Here is a 20,693-nt window from a genome sequence, read left to right on the forward strand (position 1 = left end):
ATAATGAGGTTTTTTTGAGACAGAGTTTTGCTCTGTTCCCCAGGCTGGAGTGCAGTGGCATGATCTTGGCTCATTGCAGCCTTTGCCTCCTGGGTTCAAGTGATTCTCATGCCTCAGCCTCTCGAGTAACTGGCATTACAGGCATGCACCATCATACCTGGCTAATTTTTTGTATTTTTAGTAGAGACGGAATTTCGCCATGTTGCCCAGGCTGGTCTCCAACTCCTGAGCTCAGGCAGTCTGCCCACCTCTGCCTCTCGAAGTGTTAGGATTACAGGTGTGAGCCACTGCGCCTGGCCAAATAATGAGTTTCTTAAAGGATGAATTCAATTCACAGAAGTACAGCATATGCCTAATGTAATCCCTATCCAGGGAATAAAAGCTTGTTCAGCATTTTCCTCCTTCCATCCCTTCCTTCTTTCCTTCTTCTACTAAAAATAATATTGTGATAAACAGCCTTGGGCCTTCATTTGATTATTTGTTAAGGGAAGTTTCTGGAAGGGAAGTTTGTGAGTGAAAAATACATATTTTTAAGGTTTTAATGCAGATTACCATCACGTGACTCTCCACAAACACAGCAGGGGGCCACATCCTGGTCACACTGGTGACTTTCCGGTTTCCCCAACGTTCCCCAGCAGTGCTTTTGGTTGAGTGCTTTTTATATTTTTTGTATCTTTATTGCCTAGTTATTTTTCTTCTCGTGTTAACAGCTTATTTCCTTTGGCCAGTTTCCCACTTTTATTGAGGTTGTCAGCTTTCTTTTATTGATTTTTATGAGAGTTTCATGTACTGTAGATTAGTTTGGGAATACCTGATCACTTTACAATATTGAGTTTTTCTAGCCAGAAACATATGCTTCTCCTTTGATTTATTCGCCCCTTTTCTAACTCTTGCAAAGCTGTATGGTTTTCTTCATAAATATGCTAGGCATTTCTAGTTTAGTTATATCTCGAAATTACATTTTCACTGTTACTTATGAATACAAATTTTCCCCATTGTATATTAAACATTGCTGCTAAATTATATAAAGGTACCGATTTTGTAATTGGCCATTCTCTAGGGGTTTGACTGGCATTACATTAAATTTATAGGTTAACCTGGGAAGATGTGTGTTCTGTTTAGCTAGGTTGTTTAAATTCCCAAGTCATTTCTTTTTACTTTTTCTGGTTGGTGAATTGACTGAGGTATATGACTTGAGAATTTTTTTTTTTTTTGAGATGGAGTCTCGCTCTGTCGCCAGGCTGGAGTGCAGTGGCGCCATCTCAGCAAACTGCAACCTCCAACTCCCTGGTTCAAGCTATTCTCCTGCCTCAGCCTCTGGAGTAGCTAGGATTACAGGCACGCGCCACCACACCCAGCTAATTTTTATACTGTTTTTAGTACAGATGGGGTTTCACCATGTTGGCCAGGATGGTCTCCATTTCCCGACCTTGTGATCTGCCTGCCTTGGCCTCCCAAAGTGCTGGGATTACAGGTGTGAGCCACTGCACCCAGCTGAGAATATTGAATACAATTAAAGAGTAGGGGTAATTGGTGTTTGAGGAACCAAAACAAACAAAATAAAAACAACTTCAGTTTTCAGGGTTTTAAGTGGCAAGAAGTCCAAGACAAATCTGTCTAAGCAAAAAGGGAAATATTTTCTCATGAAAGCTGGCAAGTCCTGGGGGCACTGGGCTGCAGGCCTGCCGTGATTCAGGACTCAAATCCTTTTAGCTGGATGGGCCCCTTGGCTCTGCTTCCTCTAGGTTGGTTCCAGTCCCAGACAGGCTCTCCCTAATGGCACAAGATGGCTGCAGCGCCTCCCACAACTATATCTTTCCAGGTTAAAATCTAGCTAAGTCTTGTCCCAGAGTTCTCAGCAAAGGTCCTGAGAGCCTGAGACTCTGTGAGACTCCGTTATGTGCCCTGTCCTACTCCAAGTCACTGAGGCAGGTTGATTCAGGCCTGCATTATGGGCCTCACTCCTAGAACCTGAGGGTGGAGACATCTTCCATCCTCTCACCTGAGCTGAGAAGGGACAGGTTGATCTCCTTCAAGCACTGGTTCAAGTGTGGTTCGGACTAATAGAATCACCTGAGAACTTGTTAGGACTGATGTTGCCCCACTTCAGACCTGCTGAATTAGGAACTCTGGGTGAGGCCCAGTAATCTGTGTTTTAACAGGACATCCAGGTGATTCTGATGCAGCTTAAACTTGAGAATTACCACCTTAAAAGCAGTGTTAGGTTACTGTTGCTTTAAGAAGGAGGGTCGTGGCTACTGGGACTTTGTCACACCAGGTTAACACTGAAATAATAAGGTAGGTGTTATGAAGTGGAAAAAAGCTATTATTACAAGGGTAGGGATTAAAGAAGTACAGGTATCAAATTTTTCCTTTTAGGAATATGTTAATTAAAAATCACTGTTTCCATTTTTCTGAATGTGGAAGTAATGCTACTGCATGAAACGATTATCTAAATGGCGTCTAATTTGTTTAAAAAGGTTAGTGCTATTAACACTTGATGAAATAGTGGCTGTCATTTCCTGAATGCCTCCTCTGTGCCAGGCACTTCCTTGACCACTTTTCCTTCACTGCTTATAGGGAGGTATTCTGATGAGGAAGTGGTGACAAAGCTAAGTGGTTTGCTAGTGGTAGAACCAGGTTAGAATTCAGGCCTGTTTGATTTTGAAGGCTGTGCAGTTTTTCCTTTATCCCCGATTGAGTCATCTTATTTCACATTTTGTATTGGAATGGAGACGAGAGTCTATTTTCTACCATGTTCTGCACATTTTAGGGCTAGCACCTAACTTTCTGTTGAGTTTTTTAAAACTTTAAAGCTAGAAATCAGGCCGTCACTCTGACCTATCGGGGCTTCTGCTATGTGCAAAATCATTTCTGTTTTCATGTTTCACTTAATGAGCATTTAATTTTTCTTAAGAAAAGAACTCACTGATTGCCAATGAAATTAACATGTGATTAGGCTGTGATTACTCAGAGCCTGCTCTGGCTCCTTCAGCCACTTTGGTGTAATGGTTTAGATGTCTCCGATGCTGCTGAGATTTTCCAGGCAGGGAGCAGAGAGGCGTTCATTTGCATAACGCTGGGGTTCCTGAGGTGCTGAGCTCCCTGAGGAATGCCACCCAGAAGAGGATCTAGGGGGCAAAAGGTACAGCTCCCCAGGGAAGCTAAGCCCCAGTGGTCGACTGGAAAGTCACATAGACACTTCATGCCACTGGTGCTAATTCTCCTCCCACTTAGCACTTGTTGCAGTTCCTAATTTTTTCAGCGGTGCTGTTGAAAGTTAAGAGGCAGCCACTCTTGAGTAAACTGATTTACACTGAAGGATAAATGATGGAGAACTATTAGACTTGGAAGGAAGTGTTTGCCTTTCGGAGCATTCGGCATTGTAACCGAGAGACTGGTAATTTGGAGCTGGCTAGGGTTGGGGGAAGCAATTCGTAGACCCTTTACAATTCTGTTGCTATCAGCTGCCTTCCGATGTTATTGATTTACCTAGGTCTGTCTTCTCTTTTTGAGAATTCAGAAATTTCTGAAAGCTCCAAATACTCCTCCCTCCCACACTGTTTTTTCTCAGAGAGGGCATGAGGGGAAATCAAGCTGTTGGAGAGATTGAACTTGTTGTATATTGCGCCTGATATACTTTGGATGTTTGTCCCCTCCAAATCTCATGTTGATATGCAAACTGCAGTGTTGGAGGTGGGACCTGGTGGGAGGTGTTTGGGTCATGGGAGTGGATCCCTCATGAATACCTTGTGGGGGAAAAGCATATCCCAGATAAATACCCAGATATTGGGTGCTTATGAGGCAAATGTTAGTAAGTTGGCAATTTTATTTCCCCCGCTTTGTACAGAGGGAGTTAGAGATAGGCAATGACACAAATTAATCAAGTAAAGAGCATTGGATGAGAACCCAGTTTTTCTCACCAGAGGACTGCTGTGCCTCTGGGGTCTTGGTAGTTATTTTAGGGAGTGTTTTGATGTCTCTGTGTTCTGAGCACTCTCTGTAGACTAACTAAATAATGCGTCATGCCCTGATGAGATACTGCTGCTTTGTAAATATTTTAGATGCTATAATGGCTTATAAAATTAAATTCATTTAAAGACACTTCTGAATCCAGAGTTGCTTTTGGTCATTACACTTGTTAAAGCATAATTTTCCAAAAGGCAAGATCATGACTTTCAGGTAAATGTAAAATGAACACATATCACAGATTTTAAAAAACTCATTAATTAATGAGAGAATCAGTCAGATGTTACTACTGGTTTAAAAACATTTGTGGAACTAGGATATTTAAAGACAATTTCAAAAAGAAATGTTAGGATGAGATTGCCAGGTTAGGTTAAAAATTAGTCAGTGTCTGTCAGGACCATAAATCCTTGAAATAATTATATTACCAGTTTATACCCCAATTTATAAATCTATACATCCTTGAGGATATGTGTTCTACTGGACAGAATTTTTTTGTATCTTTACTAGATAAAAATCTACAAGTTAGCAGGTAACATCACTAAATATGAGATCTTTAATCAGTAGTGTGTTAGTAGTTTTATAGTCATTGCTGTAAGAGAATACCTGAGAGTGGCTAATTTATATAAAAAAAGGAGGTTTGTTTGGCTCATAGCTCTTCAGAGTATACAAGAAGCACAGTGCTGGATCTGCTTTTGAAGAGGCCTTAGGAAGCTTTCAGTCAATGGAAGGCAGAGGAGGAGCAAGCGTGTCACGTGGCAAGAGAGAGAACAAGCGAGAGAGAAGAGGTGTCATGTTTTTTTAAACAACCTCTTCTCCCTTGAACTAATAGAGTGAGAACTCACTTATTACCAGGAGAGGGCACCAAGGTATTCATGAGGGATCCACCTCCATGTCCCAAATACCTCCCACTATGTCCGGAATTGGTGGGTTCTTGGTCTCACTGACTTCGAGAATGAAGCCGCGGACCCTCCCTGTGAGTGTTACAGTTCTTAAAGATGGTGTGTCCGCAGTTTGTTCCTTCTGATGTTCGGACATGTTCAAAGTTTCTTTCTTCTGCTGGGTTCCTGGTCTCGCTGGCTTCAGGAGTGAAGCTGCAGACCTTCACGGCAAGTGCTACAGCTCTTAAGGCAGCACGTCTGGAGTTGTTCGTTCCTCCTGTCCGGAGTTGCTCATTCCTCCCTGTGGGTTTGTGGTCTCGCTGGCCTCAGGAGTGAAGCTGCAGACCTTTGCAGTGATTACAGCTCATAAAGGTAGTGGAGACCCAAAGGGTGAGCAGCAGCAAGATTTATTGCAAAGAGCAAAAGAACAAACCTTCCACAGTTTGGAAGGGGACCCAAGCAGGTTGCCACTGCTGGCTCGGGCAGCCTGCTTTTATTCCCTTATCTGACCCCACCCACATCCTGCTGATTGGCCCATTTTACAGAGAGCTGATTGGTCCATTTTACAGAGAGCTGATTGGTCCATTTTGACAGGGTGCTGATTGGTGCATTTACAATCCCTGAGCTAGACACAGAGTGCTGATTGGTGTATTTACAATCCTCTAGCTAGACATAAAAGTTCTCCAAGTTCCCACTAGATTAACTAGACACAGAGCACTGATTGGTGCGTTTACAAACCTTGAGCTAGACACAGAGTGCTGATTGGTGCCTTTACAAACCTTGAGCTAGACACAGAGTGCTGATTGGTGCATTTACAATCCTTTAGCTAGTCACAAAAGTTCTTCAAGTCCCCACTAGATTAGCTAGATACAGTGCTGATTGGTGCGTTTACAAACCTTGAGCTAGATGCAGAGTGCTGATTGGTGCATTTACAAACCTTTAGCTAGACACAGCATGCTGATCGGTGCATTTACAAACCTTTAGCTAGACACAGAGTGCTGATTGGTGCATTTACAATCCTTTAGCTAGATGTAAACGTTCTCGAAGTCCCCACCAGATTAGCTAGACACAGAGTACTGATCGGTGCATCCATGAACCCCAAGCTAGACACAGAGTGCTGATTGGTGCATATACAATCCTCTGGCTAGACATAAAAGTTCTCCAAGTCCCCACCCGACTCAGGAGCCCAACTGGCTTTGCCTAGTGGATCCTGTGCCAGGGCCGTGGGTGGAGCTGCCCGCCAGTTCCGCGCCACGCGCCTGCACTCCTCAGCCCTTGGGCGGTCGATGGGACTGGGCACTGCGGAGCAGGGGGCGGTGCCCCTCGGGGAGGCTTGGGCCATGCAGGAGCCCACCACGGTGGGGGCTCAGGCATGGCAGGCTGCAGGTCCCAAGGCCTGCCCTGTGGGGAGGCAGCTGAGGCCTGGCGAGAATTCGAGTGCAGTGCCAGCAGGCTGGCACTGCTGGCGGACCTGGCACCCCCTCCACAGATGCTGGCCTGGGTGCAAAGCCCCTGACTGCTGAGCCCATGCTCACCCAGAACTCAGTGCTGGCTCGCGAGCATTGTGCGCAGCCCCGGTTCCTGCCTGCGCCTCTCCCTCCACCTGCGCCTCTCCCTCCACACCTTGCAAGCAGAGGGAGCTGGCTCCACTCTCAGCCAGCCCAGAGAGGGGCTCCCACAGTGCAGCGGTGGGCTGAAGGGCTCCTCAAGCGTGGCCAGAGCAGATGTCACGGTCGAGGAGGTGCTGAGAGCGAGCAAGGGCTGCCAGCACGTTGTCACCTCTCACCACCAGGTCCCACCTCCAACATTGGGGGTCACATTTCAACATGAGATTTGGAGGGGACAAACATCCAAACTATATCAAGTAGTAAATAGTGAGATGAACTAAGTTCATCCCCCTAGATCAGGAGCCAGCAACTTTTTTCTCTAATGAACCAGATAATACATGTTTCAGGTTTTGTGGGCCATATACATGTCTGTCTCATATTCTTCTCCCCTTTCTTCTCCTTGGCAGTACAGGAACAGGTTGTGGGCCAGATTTGGCTAATGGGTCACTTACCAATCCCTCCCCTAGATAATCTTTGGGTGGCCTTACCTCTATATGACATTGAAAGGGTATGCTGCCCACCTCTTTTACCTTCCAAGTTTCATAAACTCTTTTTAAACAGTCCTTTCTCAAATAACAAAATCAAAGAGTACAATTGCTGTTAGGTTGGGTAGGGATGGTAGTGTCAACATTTGATGTTAAAAAATCTTCTTCTTAGCAAGGTTGGGAAGATTTTCCTGGAGTTCAAAAAGGACAAGTTTTGTGGGGAGGAGAAATGTTAGTTTCAGACACAGTTTAATTCTGCCCATTAGGAGGGACACTGTCCACTAGATGTGAGACATAGTGGTTTTGTCAGTTTTGTCTAATTCTTCCAGGTACTTTGAAGGTTTTTCTGTTGAAAGTTTTTCTAACATTTTTCAAATGTTAGAAATTCCTTTTTAAGTAAATAGGAAAGGCAGCTTGAGATAAGATAAACATTTCAAAATTTTGACTTTCATCAGAAAAACTTAAATATTTTTTAGTGTGTGTTTTTTGGAGCGTGTTTTAGAGTGCTGGTTTTTTTTTTTTTTTTTTTTTTTTTGGGAGGACGTCTCTGGGAACTTAGAGAAGAATCAACAGTAGCTTCTCTCTCTGGTGAATTCACCTTGACTTTCTCTTTGGAGACAAATATAAATTGAGATTTATTACCTGTTTAGTTTTTGAAAATGGGTTGAGAGAGATTCTCTTTTGTTGTTGTTTCCTAGCAGGAGGTCGTGAATAATGCATGGAGCAGTTGCTTATATTGATAAACATGGTTAATTTAAATAATAGGACTAAGATTTATGCTAACCTTTTAAATTTTATTTTTGTGGTTCTGAGTATGTACATGAGTTGTTTTTAAACAAAGAGAGGAAAATGCTTTTGGGGGGGCTTTAGTGACATGTTTGGATATAGTGGGATGTATGGATTTGTCCTTTCTCTGTGTCTGTTTTGTCAACCCATTGGCTGTGTTGGTATCTGTGCTTTGTTTCACTGATGTGACCCTGTCTTATGGTGGGAAGTGCTCAGTAAACACTCTGTTGAATTGCTGAAGCCATTGTTTTGCAGGACATCCTTGTGGGGAAAAGCCTTGATTGGGGTATTGTATCCTCTCTCTCTCTCTTTTTTTTTTTTTTTTTTTTCTTTTTTGAGACAGAGTCTCATTCTGTCGCCCAGGCTGGAGTACAGTGGTGCGATCTCGGCTCACTGCAGCCTCAATCCCCTGGGCTCCAGCAATTCTCCCACCTCCGTCTCCCGAGTAGCTGCGACTACAGGTGCACGCCACCATGCCTGGCTAATTTTTTTGTATTTGTAGAGACAGGGTTTTGCCATGTTGCCCAGGCTGGTCTCAAACTCCTGAGCACAAGCAATCCATCCACCTTGCCTCCCAAAGTGCTGAGATTACAGGCGTTTGCCACCATGCCTGGCCTGTATCCTCTCTTCATTTCATGAAAATTCTTAGAGAGCAGCCACATTTTTGGGAGAGCAGTACTGTCTCTTAAATTTAAGATTAGGAATTTGATATAGAATTAATCCAAAAGGGCTTAAAAAGCCAACAGGGGCCAAGAAACACAAGGATCTCAGCTCACTCCCTTTCTTGCTTACATAGGGAGGTAAAGGTGGGTTCTTAGTGTGGGAGACAGAACTGGAGGGCAGACAAGGGTAAGGTGCCTGGATCACTGTTTCAAAAATAAATACCAGGCAAAATGATTATCATTTACAACTTTTTTTGCCTGGCTTCTGATTTCAAACCTGGGATTTTTTTCTTTTCTTTTTTTTTCAGTTGATGTGATAGCTAGCAACAGAAATTTAGTTAATTATGGGAAAGGCAATCTTCTCGGATTCATTTCTGATTAAATAATTATTTCACCAGTTTATACCCCAATATATGCTTTGGTAGGAGGTTTACAAAAATATATACACTATAAGAAGATACAAAACAAGTGAGGAAATGAAGCGAAAGGAGTCATTCCTTCATTCATTCATTTATTTATACATTTAACAGATACTTATTAAGTACCTACAGTGTGCAAAGCACTGTTCTCTGTGCCTGAATACTCAGTAAACAAAACAAACTCCCTGTCCTTATGGAGCCTATTCTAGCCTGGGGTAAAAGCTGATAGACAATAAATACGTGCACAAGTAAGAATGTGACATGGTGGCTGGGCATGGTGGCTCATACCTGTAATCCCAGCACTTTGGGAGGCCGAAGTGGGTGGATTACCTGAGGTCAGGCGTTCGAGACCGGCCTGGCCAGCATGGCGAAACCCCGTCTCTACTAAAAATGCAAAAAAATTAGCCGGGCATAGTGGCGTGTGCCTGTAGTCCCAGCTACTTGGGAGGTTGAGGCAGGAGAATTGCTTGAATCCCGGAGGCGGAGGTTGCAGTGAGCCGAGATCACGCCATTGCATTCCAGCCTGGGTAACAAGGGCAAAACTCCGTCTCAAAGAAAAAAAAAAAAACGAATGCGACATGGCAGGTGTTACTTTCTGCTGTATGGACAGGAAAGCAGGATAAGGGAAACGGGAGCAACAGGAGTGAGGGCGGGTGTGGAAGGAGGGTTACTATTTATAAGGAAGGTTCAGGAAGGCCTCTCTGATGAGGTGACATTTGGACCTGAGATCTCAATGAAGTGATGAGTGAGTCACATGACATCTGAAAAAAGAGAGTTTCAGAAAGAAAGAGCAGTAGGTATAAAGGCTTGAAGGTATAACAGCTTGAAGGTCAGGGCTTGCCAAGCATGTTTGAGGAGGAGCCCGGAGGCCAAGGTAGCTGGACCAGAGTAAGGGGGATGAGGAGAGGAGGTAAGAGGATTTCATAGGCCACTGCAAGAGTGAGATTTTACTCAGTGATACAGAGAGCCACTGGAGGGTTTTGGGGGCCGAGTAATGACCACAATTTGACTTCCATTAAAAAAAAAAAGACTAATGGGCCTGGCGCGGTGGCTCATGCCTGTAATTCCAGCACTTTGGGAGGCCGAGATGGGTGGATCATGAGGTCAGGAGATCGAGACCATCCTGGCTAACATGGTGAAACCCTGTCTCTACTAAACATACAAAAACATTAGCCAGGCATGGTGGCACGCGCCTGTAACACCACTTGGGAGGCTGAGGTAGGAGAATCACTTGAAGCCAGGGGGTGGAGGTTGCAGTGAGCCGAGATTGCGCCACTGCACTCCAGACTGGGTGACAGAGCGAGACTCCATGTCAAACAACAACAACAAAAAAAGAGAACAACAGAGTGCAGCCAGAAAGGCAGCTGCGCCCTCACACGTTCATGGGCAACCTGGCACTAAACCGTTGGTAGATGACCTGCTTCTGGGTCGGGGTTTTGTACGTAGCAGAGCAGCTCCCTTGCTGCAATCTGTTGAAAGTCAGCCTTTGACGCAAGGGTTTGTTAAAAAAAAAAAAAAAAAAGAAAAAGAAAAAAGAAAGAAAAAAAACCACTCTGGCAGCTATGGTGAGAATAGTTGGTGGGGGAAAGGGAGGAAGCAAGGAGTCCAATTAAGAGGCCATTGTAGTAATTCAGACAAGATATTATGGTGACTTGGATGAGGGGCTACAAGTGGAGATTGTATGAAGCATTTGGATTCTAGATACAGGATTTGCTGATGGATTGGACTTTGTCTTGCTGATAAAGGGTGTGAGAGAGAAGGCAAGATTTTGTCCTGAGTTATTGGAAGAATGGAATTGCCATTGACTGAGATAGATAAGGCTGAGTGGAGAATGATCAGCAAACTAGGAATGGAAGAGATCTTCCTCAACGTGATAAAATGTATCTACAAAAACCCCACAGTTCACCTTACACTTAATGTGAAAGACTCAATGCTTTCCTCCTAAGATCAGGAAGAAGATAAGGATGCCCGCTTTTGACACTTCTGTTTAACATTGTACAGGAGGTTCTAGCCATTGCAGTTAGGCAAGAAAAAGAAGTAAAAGTTATTTGGATTATCAAGGAAGAAGTAAAACTGTCTCTATTTGCAGATGACATAATCTCATATATAGAAAGTCCAGAGGAATCGACTAAAAAATGATTAGAACTAACAAATGAGTTCAGCAAGGTTGCAGGAAACAAGATCAATATACAAAATTAAATTATATTTCTATACACTAACAATGAACATTCCAGAAATGAAATTAAGAAAACAATATCATTTACTGCCATAGACTAACATGATATCAGCCAGAGAGAGAAAGAAAGAGAGTCTGGATAGGGGGGGAAGAAGAAGGTTTGAACCCCAGATCACCAAAATTCAAAGGTCGGGGAGATGAAGGGAAGCAGTAAGGCAGTAAGGCAGCTGTACAACCAAGAGAGTCATGTCCTGGAGGCAAGTATTTGAGAACGGAGGTCATCAACAGAATGTGATGCTGCTGAAGAGTGAGTAAGATGAGGACTAGGGATTGACAGCTGAGTAAGTTGAATGAGCCTGAGTGAAAAGCAGGAGAGAAAGAATGAGAGACAGAGGGGTAAGAGAAAAACTCTGTCCAGAACCAATACTTCTTTTGGAAAATGTAGTAAAAGTGGAGCACTAGCAAAATCAATATGCAAGCCCATTTTTTTCCTTATTAAATTCAACAGACATACATTTTACTCTCATTTACTCTAAAGTCTTGTAAATGTGTTCTCTCAGTTTCCATACTACCTCATTGTAGTCTGTAACGGTTTGCTGAGTGGACTGGTACTTGTCCATGGAAGCCACTTTGGCAACATGAACTAAAATGGATTCAACATGGATATCATAGAGTACTGGGTATGATGCAAGAGGTACCTGTTAGAGAATAAACATTGGTCTCATCCTCTCAGAGGCCATATATCTCTTTGTTCAGAAAACATGAAGCCTGAAGTTTGGTCCCACCTACGTTATAATCATGAGCAAGTGAAAAATCTTGCACAAAGCATTATCCTTTTCTACAAATGATAACAGTTATCTGCTCTCTTCCTTATAATTTTGACATTTGTTTGGTATTTCAGTCTGAATTGCTCATTTAAGTTTTATACAACCCTGCGAAGTGGGTGGATTTTTTTTTTTAATCCCCACAAAGAAACAGGCTCAGAAAGAGGAAACAACTTGTCCACCCTCGTGCTATTTGGAAGTGATAGAGCCAGGACTACCCTTTTAGATCCATAAGCTTGCCACCAGACCGGGCTGTGGGATTTTTTAAATCCCTTTCCACATTTGAATTTAACATCAGCTGTGCTTTGATAATTTATGTCCTATTTTTTGATCACAAATTTGCAGGTTGAGTTTAGTGTCCCTCTGAGTATGTGTGTGTTGTCAACATAGCAAGGTAAATAGACCTTGTCTTTCAAATCTAAACAGTTGCTGGATTATACTATGGTTGGTTTTAAATTCTAACCAGAAGTGCTCTTCATTCTGGAAATGCTGCCTTGTAACTGAGTTGTTTCCTCTTTCACAGCATATGAGCTATTTGCATTCATCAGTCACATGGGAACATCCACAATGAGTGGTCATTACATTTGCCATATCAAAAAGGAAGGAAGGTGAGTCATTTTTAGAAGGTAAATGTTAGCTGTGATTTATTGAGTACCTACTATATGCCAGGCACTCTCCTAGGTACATTGTATGTTATCTTATTTGGTTCTCACATTGGTCTTGTAAAGGGTATACTGTTAACGCCCTTTTGCACATCAAGACACCGAGACTCAGGGAGGCTGAATAGCTTGACCTTAGCTAGTAAGTAGCTGTGTGAGAGCTGATATTCAAAGCCACTTTCAACTATCATACCAAGGTGACCTCCCAAAATAAAGATGCATCCTGCAGCAGAATGTATGCTGTAATTGGAACCTCCCTAGGATTGCCATATTTAGCCAACAAAAGGAAACAAGACAGGAAAAACCAGGATGCCCTATTAAATTTGAATTTCAGATAAATAATGAATAATTTTTTAGTATAAATAAATTTCAAATATTCTATGTCCCAAATATTATATGGGGCATGCTTCTACTGAAATTTCTTATTGCTTACCTGATACTCAGATGTAACTGGGTAACCTGTGTTTTATCTGGCAGCTCTAAACCTTCAGTGCTTTGCCTTACTACAGCCTTGCAGTTGGCTTCTCAGCCTTCTTAAGTAGAATTGTTAAGTGTGTAGTGAACCGGAAATGAGACAGTTGTGGAATGAAAGGCTGCTGCTTTCTTCAGAACCTTCTCCCTGGGCTGGATCCCTACAGGACCTACTGGTGCCCTTCCTGCAACTCCAAACTGAGTAGCCTGTGGGTTGGCACTTCTGCTTGAGGGCAGTGCTCAGGCCATGTGGATGCTGGAGAAATGCCTGAGGGTGGCCTCTTGCTCCATGGCTCCCACTGCAGGAGTGGCCATTTCCCACCTGGACTCCATTGTGTTCTTCTGTGGTGTGTCTTTTTAGTTTTGTCTTCTTAACTTGGTAAAATAGTTGAGCACAGGAATTTATCTCTTTTTTTTGAGATGGAGTTTCACTCTTATTGCCCAGGCTGGAGTGCAATGGCACAATCTCAGCTCATTACAACCTCCGCCTCCCAAATTCAAGCAATTCTCCTGCCTCAGTCTCCCAAGTAGCTGGGATTACAGGCATGTGCTATCATGACTGGCTAGTTTTGTATTTTTAGTAGAGATGGGGTTTCACTATGTTGGTCAGGCTGGTCCCAAACTCCTGACCTCAAGTGATCCACCCGCCTTGGCCTCCCAAAGTGCTGAGATTACAGGTGTGAGTCACCGCACCCGGCTGGGACTTAATCTTTGTGGTGAATTGTTTTTATTACAAACACGATAGCGCTTTAAAAAACACTTTATGGAATGAAGTCAAAGAAAATAAAATAAAAATGCTTTTTAAAAGAAAAATAGCTTAATTATAATTTTAAAAGCAATAAAATTCATAGTAAATAATTTATAAATATAAAAATATACAAAGAATATGTACCCTGGAAGCCTAACAATAACCATTGTCTACATTTTGATATACTTTTCTTTGTTTTATTGTCTCACTGGAAGAAAGTATATATATGTCTATATGCACACATACTACATATAAATAAACACACGTATTTACAACTTAACTAAAAGCTTAAAGTATGTGCAGAGTGCATACAATTTTTTAACCAGTAATTTCCCATTTCATATTATATCATGGTTATTTTCTCACTTTGCCAAATATTCTTTGAAGAAATTTTAATAGTTCTATAATAGTTCACTGCATGGATTTTTTTAAAATTCTGGTTTTAAGCTAGTTTTATACTAAGACTGAAATAAGCATTGTTGTACATAATTCTTTGACTCAATTTCTCAGGCTATCTATGGATTTCTATAAAGGGAGTTATGGGATCAAAGGTTAAAATGTTTGGAGGTTCCTGATACATTTTAGTAACTACTTTTTGATGGAGCTTAAGAATCAAAAAGCAGTTGTAGCTGGGTATGATGGCATGTGCCTGTGTTCCCAGCTACTCCAGAGGCTGAAGCGAGAGGATCCCTTGAGCCCAGGAGTTCGAAGCTTCAGATTGTGCTACCTTACTCCAGCCTGGGGAATAGAATGAGGCCTTGTCTCTTAAAAAAAAAAAAAAAAAGCAGTTGTGATTCCCTACCAGCATTCTGTCCCTTTTTATACAACGAACTTGAGTATAGTACCTTAAAACATCATGGTTAAGTGTTGTGCGCCATATGATTTAGTGACTTCTTTGTGTAAAGTTTCCTGGAACTGACTTAAATCCATCAAATGCTTCTGTCTTATTTTCAGATGGGTGATTTACAATGACCACAAAGTTTGTGCCTCAGAAAGGCCCCCTAAAGACCTGGGCTACATGTACTTTTACCGCAGGATACCAAGCTAAACCTCAAATATAAAAATTGGCGAAAAGAAGCCATACGCCTTTTTAATTTGCCAAAAAAAAAAAGAAGAAGAAGAAGTTGAAACAACTAGACATGAAGGAATATATGGGGTATTTATCGTTTATTTAAAGAGCACGATCAGTTGACACCTTCTGAAATAGAACTGAGAAGAAATTTCTATTAGTGATGATACACTATTATATTGTAGATAGTTTTTATAAATGTTCAAAAAGATGATGATATTTAAAAACAAAAAAAGTATTCATATTGCTGGTGGAGGATCTGCCATCAGCACATCAAAAATGGGGATGTGCCCCCAGCCCTCTATTTTGCTTTGGGGGTCAGTGATAGTGGCCTCTGGAGAAACCAAATAATGTGGCCAGTGGTGTGGCCTTACCCACAACAAATGAAAAGCCCACTTGTGTTTCATATAGAAAATCAGCAGTTGGGTGGGGCTTTATTTGTGACATAATTTTTTTCATGACATACAATAATTTCTGATGTATCCATGTAGATATTATGCTCTGTCCATAATAGAGCCTCTGCAATGAAAGATATTTTTAATTTGTCACATTAAAATTCATAATACGATTGTGTGAATGTGTGTGAGACTGACTGAGAGTGTGAGACTTTTACTAGAAAAGTGAGTCCACTAGAAAATCTGTGACAAGTTGGTTTTTAAAGTCTGAACAGTTGATATTAAGCATATCTGAAAAAAGCAAGTAAATATTTTAACAAAACTATGACTCAGGAACCTTCGAGAAGATTAGTTCCCCACTTAGATTTTTAAGGAGTAAAAAGGGCTGAGTTATGCCTTTAAGTGCTGTCAAGAATTCACTTGGGTTTGGGACATTTGCTGGTGTAATGCTAGATGCCCACAGCAGCATAATATTGTACTTTGTCAAAGGTAGGTAAATTCTCTGTTTCTCAGCAGCCCTTTCCCCAAAAGGTATGGTGTTTATTTTTAGTAAAAATAGCTAATCTCTTTTTACCATCTCACATGATAACTCTTTGGAGTCATGTCAAGTGCCCCAAATTTGTCTGTGATTTTCCCATCTCTGAGCTCTTTATCTGCCTCCGTTTCCTTGTTTTTCTGGGGCCAGAGTCTCATCTCTGCCTTTTTTTGGTGTATCACCTTCTGACTTGCCTTCATTGCTTGTCTGATGTGACCAACAGTGTGATCTTGGACACACTAAGGATTTTAGATGCAAAGAAACTTTATACAACATTATGAAAGACTATCCTTTCCATTTTGGTTATTTCAGCATTTTAGTTGCAACCTGGGATTAGATTAGAGTTTCCAACGTGATGAAAAGTGGAATGATAGCATTCTATAATTTCCATAATTTTCCTACTGGTCCGTACCAAATTCTAGAGTCTCTGGAGTTGCTATTTCAGAGTATTTGGTCAAACGAAAAAGAATTTATTGCTGTCTGTTTAACATGTATTTGTTTGGTTGAAAGGATCTTTTTAGAAACTGTAGGAAAATAAACAGAACCAACCAGGTGAAACAAAGCACAGACATTGGGTTAGGATGTAGTGAGTTGTGAACAATCAGGATTCTGGGTGTGATGGGGGTCCCTGTCTCATAGGTGATCCTTTGGTGCCATGTGACCGAGAGACATGGTGTCTAAGGCCCATGGCCTGGAGACCTGGGTGCTGCTCCTAGCTGACTGTGGACCTTGGGCAAGTCCTTCATCCGTCCTGTGCCTCACTGTCCTCATCTGAACAATGGTATGATGACACCTGCCCTCTCTTTCAATCATGCTTTGAGGATACAGTGAGATTGGTTACAGTGAACCTTCAATGAGTAGAATGTGGTATGCCATGGTGGGTTGTAGTAGATGGTGCTCCCTGCCTTTTCTCCTCTGTTTTCCTCAATTTGGGAACAAATGAGATTGGCAGAAGGAGGGAGCTCACGGTGCAGTACTTTTCTACCAAAGTGTGCCCACTGGTGTCACCTCCTAATGTTAACTTGGATTTCCTAAAGCAGTCCCACTCTGTTATGAGAGTCACTGACTCCCGTGGACATCCCCACAGTAAGCAGCCTTACAAAATCCAGTCCCCTTAGGGCAGAGTGAGTGTCATAGAATAATGACTCCAAACCCACGTCAAAAATGGCTTGTTTTCAGCGATGTTATAAAACAAAGGCCTGTTTTTTGGAATTGGGGGTGACTGGGTGGTTTGGATTGAAATGTGGACAAAGATAGCATGTGTATTTTGAATAAAATAAAAATTTTGTAATAAAACTTTTAAAAATCAGTGATGTAAAATCAATATTTAAGACTATAGGCTATAAATTGTTTGATTTCATTAACTAGCCCTTTTGATGCCTAGACATGTTGTAAAAAAATTGTGCTATGGCTGCCTTTTCTTCTGCCCCACAACACAAAGGGCTATTTCTACAAGGCAAAGTTTTGTATATGTGCTATTCTTTACTTCAGATTGAGAGTTGGGAAAAACTGGAGTAAATAATGGGTTTCTTACTTGCTTAAAAGCATATTTATATGTGTATCTCAATATATACAAGGCAGGTTCCCCTATAAAAGTCTGGAATGTACTGCTTAATTTTACACTTGTGTAGACACGATTATTTGTGACTGAAAAGTGGAATAACGTGTGGATTTTGTCAACTCATTATCAGTCTGTTAGCAGTCCTCTATGTGAGGCATGGTGGTCTAATTGTGAAATTCTCCCTGTATATGGGTGTCTGTGTGAAAGACAGCACTTTCTTCCTGTAAATATCTTTTGATATCCATTTATGTAGAATTCCAATGAATATGTCTTTGGAAAAGGTAATGTATCAAAGTTTTTATTTTGCCAATTGATCTAAATGCCCATATAACTAATCAGAAATCCAGTTTGGTTCAGATTGGGATTTTCTTTTAAAGAAAAAAAAAGTATGCAGAAAAGACTATTGGAAGAATCATGTGTTAGTGACACTTTACATCAACGTTGCTTCAATATTTTGGAATTGACCAGGCTGCTTTCTCCTACCTGCAAGAGAATGTGCCTGACATTTCCCAGTGCTTACTTTGGGCTATAGGAAGTCCAGCGGGGATAGCTCGAGCCTCTTGCTCCCTGAGTCATTTATTCCCTTTACCTGAACAGAGCCTTACCTGCAATTCATAGTGAGAGCACCTGGGTCTGTATCCTGACTCCACTCTAAGTGAGGTGGGACTGAATCACTGTACCTCTCTGGGCCTTTTCATTTGAAACAAGTGGGTTAGACTAGATTAGCTCCAAAGTCCTCTCTTGCCCTAACATTTTATTTTTATTTTCCTGTGGTTACCACTAGGGTCTGACACGTAAAATGTGAGGGATCACTTAGAGGTTTGGATGTTATATTTTTGCATTGTTACAGCTTATACTCCCCAGTTGAGGACCTGTGTCATTCTTAGTGGCCCCACGACCCCTCTGTTTGTATTCCTGCTCCACTTATCTATACTTTTTTGGGTAATCATCCCACTTTTTTTTTTTCTTGAGATGGAGTCTCGCTGTGTTGCCAAGGCTGGAGTACAGTGGTGCAATCTCAGCTCACTGCAGCCTCCTCCCGGGTTCAAGTGATTCTCCTGCCTCAGCTTCCCAAGTAGCTGGGATTACTGGCGCACGCCACTACGCCCAGCTAATTTTTGTATTTTTAGTAGAGACAGGGTTTTGCCATGTTGGCCAGGCTGGTCTTGAACTCTTGACCTCAACCTGCCTCAGCCTCCCAAAGTGCTGGGATTACACGCATGAGCTACCGCGTCCAGCCCCACTTTTTTTCTACTCTTGAAAAAAACAACTTTCTAGTCCATGAGGTACTTTGGCTCCATCCCCCTCAAAAACAAAACAAAAAATCCATTTAAAGTGTCCTCCTAGAAAAGCCTCAGAACTGCCTTCAACTACATCTGTCACCTTTATAGAATATTTTGAAATTCTGGAAGAGGATGGGAAACAAAATTCTAATTTAGCTAGAGCTGTGATCCCCAAATAAGTGCTGACAAAATTGTCTACCACAGAAAGGCCGTCCTTGTCATCTTGTAGGCATCACTGCTGCTAAATCACATCAGTACATGCCTTCTGTGGGGAGATGGCAGGGGGCAGGGGCAGGACCAGGGGATGGGATTAGATAAAGTGTGATAATGTCCTTTAGATAAAAGAAATCCTACGCTATAGAACAAGGTTCTGTACTCTTGAGTTGGTGTCTGAGATCACCTGCACAGTGTTACAGAGATTTTCCACTCCATAAATCACTCTAAAAGAGTTTGCATAAGACTCGGTAGACCTGTGCTATTCAATGTGGCAGTCAACAGCCATATGTGGCGATGACTACTCAAAGTTTGGCTTGTTCAAATCGAGACTGTGTTGTACACATACAATACACACCAGATTTTGAAGGCTTGGTACCAAAAAGGAATTTAAAATATTTCACCAATATTTCATATTGATAACATGCTGAAATGACACTATTTTGGATGTACTAAGTAAAATATTAACAATTTAATATATTTATATAATTGAAATTAAAATTCTTTTCACCCATTTTTATTTTTTTAAAAATGTGGCCCCTAAAGAACTTCAAATTAGACATGTGGATAACGTTATACTTCTATTGGACAGCCCCACTCTAGACTTACATGGTGTGGGGTAGGCAGTGAAATCCGTAAATAGGAAACGCAATTCTGCAAAGTATCTAAATAGACAGAAACAACACAAATATTTTTGCTGGAGTCAGGAGCACTGTGAGGCACAGAACATCTCCCAGAAAGCAGATTTTTTTTTTCTGCCGAAAAACCAATATATATATGTATGATCCCAATTAAAAGACAAAAGCAAATGAGCCCCAAACTGCCTGTCTTCAGCTTTGCCTGGGAGCTGCTACCTTTGCTCTTCTAGCATCTTCTAGGTACCAAGGATATTAGCCACTTGAGGGTGTTGGGCATATTTGTTTCATTGTAGGCAAAATCCTCTTGTGGTTTCCCCTCCCCAGGTATTGTTGAGTCTGTTCAAAGCTGGGTGTGTTGAAACACTGCACAAATCCTGCCACTCTTGATGTGCCGCTTGTCTCAGCCTTGGCAGAGGCTGAGTCTGTTCCTGTGCCCACCTGTCCAGCAGGTTTTGATGTTGGCTCCTGAAAGAGTTTGTATTTATTTTATTTTGCACTAGTCACAGTTGTTGTTAAACTGTATCAAATGTTTTGGGAGATTATTTGCCTGAGATGGAAAGAGAGATGGATGATTTATTGCTTCAATTGTTTTAAATTAAAAGCTATTCTCACAATCTGAGGCCCTTTATGGCTCTTTTTTTCTTTAATTTTGAAAAATGCCAAGTAAACGGATTCTGCCATTGATTGTTTTCATCTGTCAGTGGAACAGGTAACTTGAGACAATGACTAATCTTATTTCTTTTTAGGGGTTCTTGGCGTTACCAGGCAGCCATCACAGTGGACCATCAGTGGTGGCACATTGTTACCTCTGTGGAGGAGGGAGGATTTGGGGCAGGGCGGAGTCTCCTGCCTTGGACTTTATCTGCTGGATGTCATGTCACAGATCTTTCTCTTGTTCCCTAGATCTTGGTTTGCTGACAGCCCCCTTAACACATATAAAAGCAGAGTGGGCACACGCTATGTCCAGAGACTTAGGCATTTCGATGACACTGTGTCTCTAAGGCGTATGAGTTCTCTCTTGCTGCTGTGACAAATTATCATGAACTCGGTGGCTTAAAATAATACATGTATTACTATGCAAATGGTCTTACAGGGCTAAAATCAAGGTGTTGGTAGGGAAGCTGTAAGGGAGAATCAATTCCTGCTTTTTCTAGCTTCTAGAGTCTGCTCACCTTCCTGGGCTCCCGGTCTCCTCACAGCATTGGCATCACTGCAGCCCCTGCTTCCGTTGTCACATCTCCCCTGGCTGACTTACTTCCCTCTTATAAAGACCCTTGTGGGCCAGGCATGGTGGCTCACACCTGTAATCCGAGCA

The 20,693-nt window shown here is 42.0% G+C and overlaps 1 protein-coding gene across 6 annotated transcripts in view; it reads left to right on the top strand.

Moving 5' to 3' along the window:
- USP13 (ubiquitin specific peptidase 13) overlaps positions 1 to 19,992 on the top strand; it is a 136,362-nt gene extending 116,370 nt beyond the window's left edge. For all 6 annotated transcript variants that reach the window (NM_003940.3, XM_011513269.2, XM_017007426.2 and 3 more), the window contains 2 exons: positions 12,330 to 12,414; positions 14,639 to 19,992. In NM_003940.3, the coding sequence (NP_003931.2) occupies positions 12,330 to 12,414; positions 14,639 to 14,732 (179 nt within the window). In that variant the 3' untranslated portion in view covers positions 14,733 to 19,992. The remainder of the gene's footprint in view (positions 1 to 12,329; positions 12,415 to 14,638) is intronic.
- The last annotated feature ends 701 nt before the right edge of the window (positions 19,993 to 20,693 follow it).

This window comes from Homo sapiens, chromosome 3 (genome assembly GCF_000001405.40).
Source record: "Homo sapiens chromosome 3, GRCh38.p14 Primary Assembly".
Taxonomy (NCBI): Eukaryota; Metazoa; Chordata; class Mammalia; order Primates; family Hominidae; genus Homo; species Homo sapiens.